Source organism: Homo sapiens, chromosome X, assembly GCF_000001405.40.
Source record: "Homo sapiens chromosome X, GRCh38.p14 Primary Assembly".
In the NCBI taxonomy this organism is placed as follows: Eukaryota; Metazoa; Chordata; class Mammalia; order Primates; family Hominidae; genus Homo; species Homo sapiens.
The window spans coordinates 76,714,754-76,726,993 of NC_000023.11; the positions used below are offsets into that span (position 1 = coordinate 76,714,754).

Sequence of the window (12,240 nt, forward strand, 5' to 3'; positions counted from 1 at the left end):
TTCAAGATCTAAAGCAATTCTTAATTAGCAGAGCTGGTGTGAGTAAGTCTTGTGGTGAGGCTGCATAGACAGGAATTCAGAATCCAGGGAGAAGGTGATAATAGGCCCAATCTGCTTCTTACCTCTCATAGCAAAGAATGAGTGTGGTTATAAAAGCTAGGCATCACATTTTAGGGGAAGAAAAAGAGGATAGAGAGGTTTCAGGGCTTTGACCAGGATGATGGGAGTACTCTGAATTATGCCACATAAGGAAGAGCAGACAGACATAGGGGTGAGTAGTCAGAAGACCTCCAGAAAAGTCTTGGCCCCTGTTCTTAGCATCTCAAGGGTTCTTGTGGGAAATAGGAGTGACTTAAAATCTGAATAAAAAGGTATACTGTTGTTGGTAGGTAGATGTAACACAGGGACATATTTCAAGTTAATAGAAAGATACTACTAAGTATTAGAAGCATAGGATGTCTCAAGAATTAGTGAGTTTTTGTTGAAAGTTTATATGGAAAGGCCAAAATACCATCTAATAGAAATAATATCGATAGGGTCAGAGGTCAGGCAAGGAGTTGGATTAAATTCTTTAAGTTCCTTCTAAATTCCAAGGGTAAATAATTCCAGATTAGTGGTTAAGCTAGTGGAAAGGAGATTCTAATCACAGGGTCTGAAATTCCAAGCAGGGGAACACTTATATACCACCGATTATAAGATTGGTTCCCCACTGCACTGTCCACTGAATTAACATCTGATTGTTATCTTGAAGACCCAAGTACTTTTGTCATTGTTTCCAACAACTCAAATTGTACATCTTTTTTCAGTTTGTACATTCTTATTCTTATTGCTTCCTCAAGTGTAAATTGAGTATTTGAATCAGAATATCACAAAGTTGTTGAGTTTTACGTATGATAGTGAATACAAAGCTGTTTGGTAAGTTGTAAAGTGCCATAGAAAAATACAGGATTGGCCAGGTGCGGTGGCTCATGCCTGTAATCCCAGCACTTTGGGACGCCGAGGTGGGCGGATCACAAGGTCAGGAGTTTGAGACCAGTCTGACCAACATAATGAAACCCCGTCTCTACTAAAAATACAAAAAATTAGCCGGGTGTGGTGGTGTGTGCCTGTAATCCCAGCCTCTAAGGAGGCTGAGGCAGAATAATTCACGTGAACCCAGGAGGCAGAGGTTGCAGTGAGGCAAGATCACGTCTCTGCACTCCAGCCTGGGTGACAGTGTGAGACTCCATCTCAGAAAAAATAAATACAGGATTATTGTTGTTGGTGTTATTATATTCACTGGCCTGAGTACAATTTTGTTTGGTTGGTTTTAGCTTTTTTATTATTTCTTATTCATACATAACAGATGTACATATTTTGCGGTAAATGTGACAATACATTAATATAATATCAAATCAGAGTAATTGAGATGTCCATTGATATAGCTTGGCTGTGTCCCCACCCAAATCTCATCTTGAATTCCCACGTGTTGTGGAAGGGACCCCGTGGGAGGTAATCAAATCATGGAGGTGGGTCTTTCCCATGCTGTTCTCATGATAGTGAATAAATCTCATGAGATCTGATGGTTTTATAAAGAGAAGTTCTTTCATGCAACTTCTCTTCTCTCACCATGTAATATGTTCTTTCCACCTTCTGCCATGACTGTGAGGCCTCTCCAGCCATGTGGAACTGTGAGTCCACTAAATCTCTTTCTTTAGTAAATTTCCCAGTCTCAGGTAGGTCTTTATTAGCAGTGTGAAAACTGATTAATACATCCATCAGCTTGAACATCTCTCTCTTTTCTTTATGCTAAAAGCATTTAAATGATTCCCTTCTAGCCATTTTGAAATGTACAGTAGATTAATGTTAACTAAAGTCATCCTACTGATTAATCAAATGCTAGGTTTTATTTCTTCTATCTAACTGTATGTCTTGGTACAATTTGATCTCTGATAGAGTTTAAATAAGGACAGATTCCTCAAGGTAGAAAAAAGCAGATGGTTTGCTGAGTGATTCTTTCTAGGGTTACTTGACTAATGATTTCCTTTATAATTTACTTTTCCCACTGGAGCCATGTGATGAGAAGCTGGAGAGAGATGGCTGGAGGCTATAGACAGTTGAGGGTACAAGGGTTTAGAGTAGAAATGTAACAGCTATAAAAGATATTGGGAGAGGAGGAATGAGTACAGCAGAACCAGGAATCAAACATATAAAAGCCAAGGTAAGACAGTGAGTGTCTATGCAGATGTTTACAGTATTTTTCTTAAAAAAAAACTTGTAGAAATTAGTTGTTCTTTTGTATAAAAGTATTTAGGTGGGGCCACCTCAAGACAGAGAGCATTGTTCAAAGCCTCGGGTCTCTGATGGAATACAAATGTCTCTACTTTGGCACATATCTGATGGGTGTGGAGTTTTGTATCTGCAAATTGGTTGTCTAAAGAACCGGTATGATGGAAAAAGGAAATTGGATCCCTGGAATAAACTTAGGGGCTGGCAAGAACAGATAATATTCCTCCTTACATTCCCAACTGTTTCTAGGAAACAAGACTTGTTTACCTCTTGAAGAACAGAAGAAAAAATGACATTTCTTTTGCTGGGAAGGATTAAAAAGATATTTCTGTTGATCATCTCTTGGTTTGGGATTGTTTATTTATTAGCTGTTTTCTGAAGTCAAGTTCCAGGTCACAAGGCTTTTGTAATGGGAGGAGGTATCATGAGTGAACAGTGGATATTAGCAGCACTGTGCCTAGTGACACCTTGGTTAAACCCCTTCTCAGCTACTATTCTTTCTTCTTTTTCTTTTTGCCTTCTGCTTCACTCTACTCTTTTCTCATTTCTTCTCCTCTTCACTTTGCTTATCTTTTCTTTCCTGGTTCTTGTTTATTATTCCTGTCTTGCATTCCTTCTTTTTTCTCTCCTCCCTATGCATTTCTTTTGCTTCTTTTTATCCCCAGCTGAGTCAGACTCCAGGAAGATGTGCATCCAGAAGACTTTTCCATTCCCAGCTTAGAAAAAAAGACAGATGCAAAGCCTTTATTAGCTCATCTCCTTAGTCTCCTAGCCAGGGAAAGATTGCTCCTCAAAATAGATTTTACTTTGCTTTACTTTGATTCAATGTGAAATGACTCAAGCCAAGGGCCTTCTATATCTTTCCTTGAGAAATATCATTCCATATTGTATACAACTTGCTTTCAAATATTCCCATTCCCTGGAATAATATTTATTTTATTTTGGTTCAGCACATTACTACTGGTTAGTTTATCTAGGACCTCCCTAAACCTTTCTGTTCTTTTTTTGGTGTTTATTGCTTTCTAGAGGTTACAAATGCTTATCACACTCTCAGAGAAATTCTTTTGGCCCCTGAAACATTCTGTTCCATGGCCAATACTCCATGAGGCTGTTATTACTGCCATTTAAAAATATGAAATCTGAGATCTGAATGGATTAAGACACTTCCATATGATCACAGAGATATAACATAGTGGGCCTGAGATTCAAAACTAGATCTGTTTGATTTCAAAATTAATGGTCTTTCCACAGCATCAAAATAGGGCTCAGCATAGCTTATGAGAAACAGCACAAAATACTTCTGTAGTTACTTGATCAATCTTTATGTCTAGCCCAAAGCTTATCTGAACAATTTGATATTGGACTACATGAGAGGTACTGTGGTATATTAGAGGAGCTCCTGAACTACACACAAAAACACACACACACAAATACATCTTTCCTTCATTTTGGCTGAAGAGTTTAGAAGATTCTGATATGTGTTCAGAGACCGGATTCACCTCCATTTGTGAATTAAGTCCTGTGACATTGTTGTCAGACATCGTATTAGAACTCTCACGAGTTATAGACCTTACTAAGAGTAATTTCCATTAGTCTGGTTACATTCCAATTATCATGGCGCCTTATGAAGAAAAAAGATAAGCCAGTTTTGAAAACTGGTGGCCATAATTTAATTTCATGACAACAAAATAAGTTGACATAGTAAATTTATGGCCTATCTGTATTTTACTTAATGGTATAATACCATGCCAGATAACTTACTTGAAACTTATCCCATAACCAAGTAATAGATGAACTTCTCTGGATTACTGCAATATGAATAATTTTATCTCTTGGACCATCAATCATGATATGCCCAACATAACAAAACCAATGTTATGAGACCAAGAATAGGAAATGGGAAGCATCTTTTTTAAAAAAAAATGTATTTTAGGCCGGACGGGGTGGCTCACGCCTGTAATCGCAGCGCTTTGGGAGGCCGAGGCAGGCAGATCACGAGGTCAGGAGATGGAGACCATCCTGGCTAACACGGTGAAACCCTGTCTCTACTAAAAATACAAAAAAAAAAAAAACAAACAAACAAACAAAAAAAACTAACCGGGCGTGGTGGCAGGTGCCTGTAGTCCCAGCTACTTGGGAGGCTGAGGCAGGAGAATGGTGTGAACCTGGGAGGCGGAGCTTGCAGTGAGCCAACATTGCGCCACTGCACTCCAGCCTGGGAGAGAGTGCGAGACTCTGTCCCAAAAAAAAAAATTATTTTAGTTTTAGGGGTACAAGTGCAGGATTGTTTTATAGATAAACTCGTCACAGTGTTTTCTTGTACAGATTACTACGTCACTAAGGTACTAAGCCTAGTGCCCAACGGTTGTTTCTTTCTTCTCCTTTTCCTTCTTCCAGCCTCCACCTTCAAGTAGACCCCAGTGCCTGTTGTTCTCTCTTTTGTGTGTGTCTATGAGTTCTCATCATTTAGCTCCCACTTATAAGTGAGAACATTCGGTATTTGATTTTCTGTTTCTGTGTTAGTTTGCTAAGGATAATGGCCTCCAGCTACATCTGTGTTCTTGCAAAGACATGATCTCATTCTTTTTATAGCTGCATAGTATTCCATGGTGTATATGTAACACATTGTCTTTATCCAATCTGTCATTGATGGGCATTTGGGCTGATTCCATATCCTTGTTATTGTAAATAGTGCTACAATGAACATTCACATGCATGTGTCTTTGTGGTAGAATGATTTATAATTTTGTGGGTATATACCCAGTAATGGGATTGCTGGGTGGAATGGTAGTTCTGATTTTAATTGTTTGAGGAAACCCCACACTGATTTCCACATTGTTTGAACTAATTTACACTCCAAACAACAGTGTTAAAGTGCTCCCCTTTGTCTGCAACCTCGCCAGCATCTGCTATTTTATGACATTTTAATAACAGCCATCTGACAGGTGTGAGATGGTATCTGATTGTGATTTTGCTTTAAATTTTCCTTTTTTTTAATTTCAATTTTTAGTTTTTTTTTTATTATTATACTTAAAGTTTTAGGGTACATGTGCACTTTGTGCAGGTTAGTTACATACGTATACATGTGTCATGCTGGTGCGCTGCACCCACTAACTCGTTATCTAGCATTAAGTATATCTCCCAATGCTATCCCTCCCCCTCCCCCCACCCTACAACGGTCCCCAGAATGTGATGTTCCCCTTCCTGTGTCCATGTGATCTCATTGTTCAATTCCCACCTATGAGTGAGAATATGTGGTGTTTGGTTTTTTGTCCTTGCGATAGTTTACTGAGAATGATGATTTCCAATTTCATCCATGTCCTAAAAAGGACATGAACTCATCATTTTTTATGGCTGCATAGTATTCCATGGTGTATATGTGCCACATTTTCTTAATCCAGTCTATCATTGTTGGACATTTGGGTTGGTTCCCAGTCTTTGCTATTGTGAATAATGCCACAATAAACATACGTGTGCATGTGTCTTTATAGCAGCATGATTTATAGTCATTTGGGTATATACCCAGTAATGGGATGGCTGGGTCAAATGGTATTTCCAGTTCTAGATCCCTGAGGAATCGCCACACTGACTTCCACAATGGTTGAACTAGTTTACATTCCCACCAACAGTGTAAAAGTGTTCCTATTTCTCCACATCCTGTCCAGCACCTGTTGTTTCCTGACTTTTTAATGATTGCCATTCTAACTGGTGTGAGATGGTATCTCATTGTGGTTTTGATTTGCATTTCTCTGATGGCCAGTGATGATGAGCATCTTTTCATGTGTTTTTTGGCTGCATAAATGTCTTCTTTTGAGAAGTGTCTGTTCATGTCCTTCGCCCACTTTTGGATGGGGTTGTTTGTTTTTTTCTTGTAAATTTGTTTGAGTTCATTGTAGATTCTGGATATTAGCCCTTTGTCAGATGAGTAGGTTGCGAAAATTTTCTCCCATTTTGTAGGTTGCCTGTTCACTCTGATGGTAGTTTCTTTTGCTGTGCAGGAGCTCTTTAGTTTAATTAGATCCCATTTGTCAATTTTGTCTTTTGTTGCCATTGCTTTTCGTGTTTTAGACATGAAGTCCTTCCCCATGCCTATGTCCTGAATGGTAATGTCTAGGTTTTCTTCTAGGGTTTTTATGGTTTTAGGTCTAACGTTTAAGTCTTTAATACATCTTGAATTGATTTTTGTATAAGGTGTAAGGAAGGGATTCAGTTTCAGCTTTCTACACATGGCTAGCCAGTTTTCCCAGCACCATTTATTAAATAGGGAATCCTTTCCACATTTCTTGTTTTTGTCAGGTTTGTCAAAGATCAGATAGTTGTAGCTATGCGGTGTTATTTCTGAGGGCTCTGTTCTGTTCCATTGATCTATATCTCTGTTTTGGTACCAGTACCATGCTGTTTTGGTTACTGTAGCCTTGTAGTATAGTTTGAAGTCAGGTAGTGTGATGCCTCCATCTTTGTTCTTTTGGCTTAGGATTGACTTGGCAATGCACACTCTTTTTTGGTTCCAGATGAACTTTAAAGTAGTTTTTTCCAATTCTGTGAAGAAAGGCTTTGGTAGCTTGATGGGGATGGCATTGAATGTGTAAATTACCTTGGGCAGTATGGTCATTTTCACGATATTGATTCTTCCTACCCATGAGCATGGAATGTTCTTCCATTTGTTTGTATCCTCTTTTATTTCCTTGAGCAGTGGTTTGTAGTTCTCCTTGAAGAGGTCCTTCACTTCCCTTGTAAGTTGGATTCCTAGGTATTTTATTCTCTTTGAAACAATTGTGAATAGAAGTTCACTCATGATTTGGCTCTCTGTTTGTCTGTTGTTGGTGTATAAGAATGCTTGTGATTTTTGTACATTGATTTTGTATCCTGAGACTTTGCTGAAGTTGCTTATCAGCTGAAGGAGATTTTGGGCTGAGACAATGGGGTTTTCTAGATATACAATCATGTCATCTGCAAACATGGACAATTTGACTTCCTCTTTTCCTAATTGAATACCCTTTATTTCCTTCTCCTGCCTAATTGCCCTGGCCAGAACTTCCAACACTATGTTGAATAGGAGTGGTGAGAGAGGGCATCCCTGTCTTGTGCCAGTTTTCAAAGGGAATGCTTCCAGTTTTTGCCCATTCAATATGATATAGGCTGTGGATTTGTCATAGATAGCTCTTATTATTTTGAAATATGTCCCATCAATACCTAATTTATTGAGAGTTTTTAGCATGAAGGGATGTTGAATTTTGTCAAAGGCTTTCTCTGCATCTATTGAGATAATCATGTGGTTTTTGTCTTTGGATCTGTTTATTTGCTGGATTACATTTATTGATTTGTGTATATTGAACCAGCCTTGCATCCCAGGGATGAAGCCCACTTGATCATGGTGGATAAGCTTTTTGATGTGCTGCTGGATTCAGTTTGCCAGTATTTTATTGAGGATTTTTGCATCAATGTTCATCAGGGATATTGGTTTAAAATTCTCTTTTTTGGTTGTGTCTCTGCCCGGCTTTGGTATCAGAATGATGCTGGCCTCATAAAATGAGTTAAGGAGGATTCCCTCTTTTTCTATTGATTGAAATAGTTTCAGAAGGAATAATATCAGTTCCTGCGTTTACCTCTGGTACAATTCGGCTGTGAATTGATCTGGTCCTGGACTCTTTTTGGTGGGTAAGCTATTGATTATTGCCACAATTTCAGATCCTTTTATTGGTCTATTCAGAGATTCAACTTCTTCCTGGTTTAGTCTTGGGAGAGTGTATGTGTCAAAGAATTTATCCATCTCTTCTAGATTTTCTAGTTTATTTGCGTAGAGGTGTTTTTAGTATTCTCTGATGGTAGTTTGTATTTCTGTGGGATTGGTGGTGATATCCCCTTTATCATTTTTTCTTGCGTCTATTTGATTCTTCTCTCTTTTTTTCTTTATTAGTCTTGCTAGCGGTCTATCAATTTTGTTGATCCTTTCAAAAAACCAGCTCCTGGACTCATTAATTTTTGAAGGGTTTTTGTATCTCGATTTCCTTCAGTTCTGCTCTGATTTTAGTTATTTCTTGCCTTCTGTTAGCTTTGAATGTGTTTGCTCTTGCTTTTCTAGTTCTTTTAATTGTGATGTTATGGTGTCAATTTTTGATCTTTCCTGCTTTCTCCTGTGGACATTTAGTGCTATAAATTTCCCTCTACACACTGCTTTGAATGTGTCCCAGAGATTCTGGTATGTTGTGTCTTTGTTCTCATTGGTTTCAAAGAACATCTTTATTTCTGCCTTCATTTCATTATGTACCCAGTAGTCATTCAGGAGGAGGTTGTTCAGTTTCCATGTAGTTGAGCAGTTTTGAGTGAGATTCTTAATCCTGAGTTCTAGTTTGATTGCACTGTGGTCTGAGAGATAGTTTGTTATAATTTCTGTTCTTTTACATTTGCTGAGGAGAGCTTTACTTCCAACTATGTGGTCAATTTTGGAATAGGTGTGGTGTGGTGCTGAAAAAAATGTATATTCTGTTGATTTCCGGTGGAGAGTTCTGTAGATGTCTATTAGGTACACTTGGTGCAGAGCTGAGTTCAATTCCTGAGTATCCCTGTTGACTTTCTGTCTCATTGATCTGTCTAATGTTGACAGTGGGGTGTTAAAGTCTCCCATTATTAATGTGTGGGAGTCTAAGTCTCTTTGTAGGTCACTCAGGACTTGCTTTATGAATCTGGGCGCTCCTGTATTGGGTGCATATATATTTAGGATAGTTAACTCTTCTTGTTGAATTGATCATTTTACCATTATGTAATGGCCTTCTTTGTCTCTTTTGATCTTTGTTGGTTTACAGTCTGTTTTGTCAGAGACTAGGATTGCAACCCCTGCCTTTTTTTGTTTTCCATTTGCTTGGTAGATCTTCCTCCATCCTTTTATTTTGAGCCTATGTGTGTCTCTGCATGTGAGATGGGTTTCATGAATACAGCACACTGATGGGTCTTGACTCTTTATCCAATTTGTCAGGCTGTGTCTTTTAATTGGAGTATTTAGTCCATTTACATTTAAAGTTAATATTGTTATGTGTGAATTTGATCCTGTCATTATGATGTTAGCTGGTTATTTTGCTCATTAGTTGATGCAGTTTCTTCCTAGTCTCGATGGTCTTTACATTTTGGCATGATTTTGCAGCGGCTGGTACCGGTTGTTCCTTTCCATGTTTAGTGCTTCCTTCAGCAGCTCTTTTAGGGCAGGCCTGGTGGTGACAAAATCTCTCAGCATTTGCTTGTCTGTAAAGGATTTTATTTCTCCTTCACTTATGAAGCTTAATTTGGCTGGATAGGAAATTCTGGGTTGAAAATTCTTTTCTTTAAGAATGTTGAAAATTGGCCCCCACTCTCTTCTGGCTTGTAAGGTTTCTGCCGAGAGATCCACTGTTAGTCTGATGGGCTTCTCTTTGAGGGTAACCCGACCTTTCTCTCCGGCTGCCCTTAACATTTTTTCCTTCATTTCAACTTTGGTGAATCTGACAATTATGTGTCTTGGAGTTGCTCTCCTCGAGGAGTATCTTTGTGGCGTTCTCTGTATTTCCTGAATCTGAACGTTGGCCTGCCTTGCTAGATTGGGGAAGTTCTCCTGGATAATATCCTGCAGAGTGTTTTCCAACTTGGTTCCATTCTCCCCGTCACTTTCAGGTACACCAATCAGACGTAGATTTGGTCTTTTCACATAGTCCGATATTTCTTGGAGGCTTTGATCAATTCTTTTTATTCTTTTTTCTCTAAACTTCCCTTCTCGCTTCATTTCATTCATTTCATCTTCCATTGCTGATGCCCTTTCTTCCAGTTGATCGCATAGGCTCCTGAGGCTTCTGCATTCTTCACGTAGTTCTCGAGCCTTGGTTTTCAGCTCCATCAGCTCCTTTGAGCACTTCTCTGTATTGGTTATTCTAGTTACACATTCTTCTAAATTTTTTCAAAGTTTTCAACTTCTTTGCCTTTCGTTTGAATGTTCTCCCTTAGCTGAGAGTATTTTGATCATCTGAAGCCTTCTTCTCTCAGCTCATCGAAGTCATTCTCCATCCAGCTTTGTTCCGTTGCTGGTGAGGAGCTGCGTTCCTTTGGAGGAGGAGAGTTGCTCTGCTTTTTAGAGTTTCCAGTTTTACTGTTCTGTTTTTTCCCCATCTTTGTGGTTTTATCTACTTTTGGTCTTTGATGATGGTGATGTACAGATGGGTTTTTGGTGTGGATGTCCTTTCTCTTTGTTAGTTTTCCTTCTAACAGACAGGACCCTCAGCTGCCGGTCTGTTGGAGTACCCTGCAGTGTGAGGTGTCTGTGTGCCCCTACTGGTGTGTGGCTCCCAGTTATGCTGCTCGGGGATCAGGGTTCAGGGACCCACTTGAGGAGGCAGTCTGCCCATTCTCAGATCTCCAGCTGCATGCTGGGAGAACCACTGCTCTCTTCAAAGCTGTCAGACAGGGACATTTAAGTCTGCAGAGGTTACTGCTGTCTTTTTGTTTGTCTGTGCCCTGCTCCAAGATGTGGAGCCTACAGAGGCACACAGGGCTCCTTGAGCTGTGGTGGGCTCCACCCAGTTCGAGCTTCCTGGCTGCTTTGTTTACCTAAGCAAGCCTGGGCAAAGGTGGGCACCCCTCCCCCATCCTGGCTGCCGCCCTGCAGTTTGATCTCAGACTGCTCTGCTAGCAATCAGCGAGACTCCGTGGGCGTAGGACCCTCCGAGCCAGGTGCGGGATACAATCTCGTGGTGTGCCGTTTTTTAAGCCTGTCGGAAAATCGCATTATTTTTGGGTGGGAGTGACCCGATTTTCTAGGTGCGTCCGTCACCCCTTTCTTTGATTAGGAAAGGGAACTCCCTGACCCCTTGCGCTTCCCGAGTGAGGCAATGCCTCGCCCTGCTTTTGCTCACGCACGGTGTGCACACCCACTGTCTGGCACTCCCTAGTGAGATGAACCCGGTACCTCAGATGGAAATGCAGAAATCACTCATCTTCTGTGTCGCTCAGGCTGGGAGCTGTGGACCAGAGCTGTTCCTATTCCGCCATCTTGGCTCCTCCCTCCTGCTTTGAATTTTTCTAATGATCAGTGATATTGAGGTTTTTTTCATACGCTTCTTGGCCACATGTATGTCTTCTTTTGAAAAATGTCCGTTAATGTCCCTTGCCCAGTTTTTAATGGGGTTGTTTCTTTCTTGTAAGCTGCTGTAAGTTCTTTATATATGGTGGATATTAAAATTTTTCAGCTTCATAGTTTGCAAATATTTTCTCCCATTCTGTGGGTTGTCGATTAATCTGTTGATAGCTTCTATTGCTGTATAGAAGATCTATAGTTTAATTAGATCAAATTTGCCAATTTTTGCTTTTGTTGTGATTGCTTTTGGTGTCTTCATTGTGAAATATTTGCCCATTCCTATGTCCAGAATGGAATGCATAGGTCTTTTTTCAGAGTTTTTACAGCTTTGGGTTTTACATTTAAATCTTTAATCTATCTTGACTTGGTTTTTGTATATGATACAAGAGAGCAGTCCAGCATCAGTCATCTGCATATGGCTAGCCAGTTATCCCAGCACCATTTATTTAAAATGGAGTCTTTTCCTCATTGCTTGTTTTTGTCATCTTTGTCGAAGAACAGTTGGTTGTAGGTGTGCAGCACTATTTCTGGTCTCGCTATTCTTTTCCATTGGTCTATGTGTCTGCTTTTGTACTAGTACCATGCTGTTTTGTATATTGTAGCCGTGTAGTATACTTTGAAGTTGAGTAGTATGATGCCTCCAGTTTTGTTTTTTTTGCTTAGGATTGCCTTGATTATTCAGGGTTTTTTTTAATATAAATTTTAAAATAGCTTTTTCTAGTTCTTTGAAGAATGTCATTGGTAGTTTGATAGAAATAGCTTGAATCTGTAAATAGCTTTGGGAAGTATGACCATTTTAATGATATTGATTCTATCTGTAAACATGAAATGTTTTTCTTTTTATTTGTGTCATCTCTGATTTCTTTGAGCAGTATTTT

The 12,240-nt window shown here is 39.4% G+C and overlaps 1 long non-coding RNA gene across 7 annotated transcripts in view, besides 2 other annotated features; it reads right to left on the bottom strand.

The window, feature by feature from the left end:
• MIR325HG (MIR325 host gene) overlaps positions 1-12,240 on the bottom strand; it is a 356,735-nt gene that overhangs the window by 56,956 nt on the left and 287,539 nt on the right. The gene's annotated exons all lie outside the window — the stretch shown is intronic.
• Positions 10,474-10,975: an enhancer, noted in NCBI's record as "H3K4me1 hESC enhancer chrX:75945635-75946136 (GRCh37/hg19 assembly coordinates)". NCBI's record gives its function as "activates a minimal SCP1, AML or CMV promoter by ChIP-STARR-seq in naive H9 embryonic stem cells {active_cell/tissue: H9 hESC(naive)}" and the evidence as "EXISTENCE:reporter gene assay evidence [ECO:0000049][PMID:30033119]".
• Positions 10,976-11,461: an enhancer, noted in NCBI's record as "H3K4me1 hESC enhancer chrX:75946137-75946636 (GRCh37/hg19 assembly coordinates)". NCBI's record gives its function as "activates a minimal SCP1, AML or CMV promoter by ChIP-STARR-seq in naive H9 embryonic stem cells {active_cell/tissue: H9 hESC(naive)}" and the evidence as "EXISTENCE:reporter gene assay evidence [ECO:0000049][PMID:30033119]".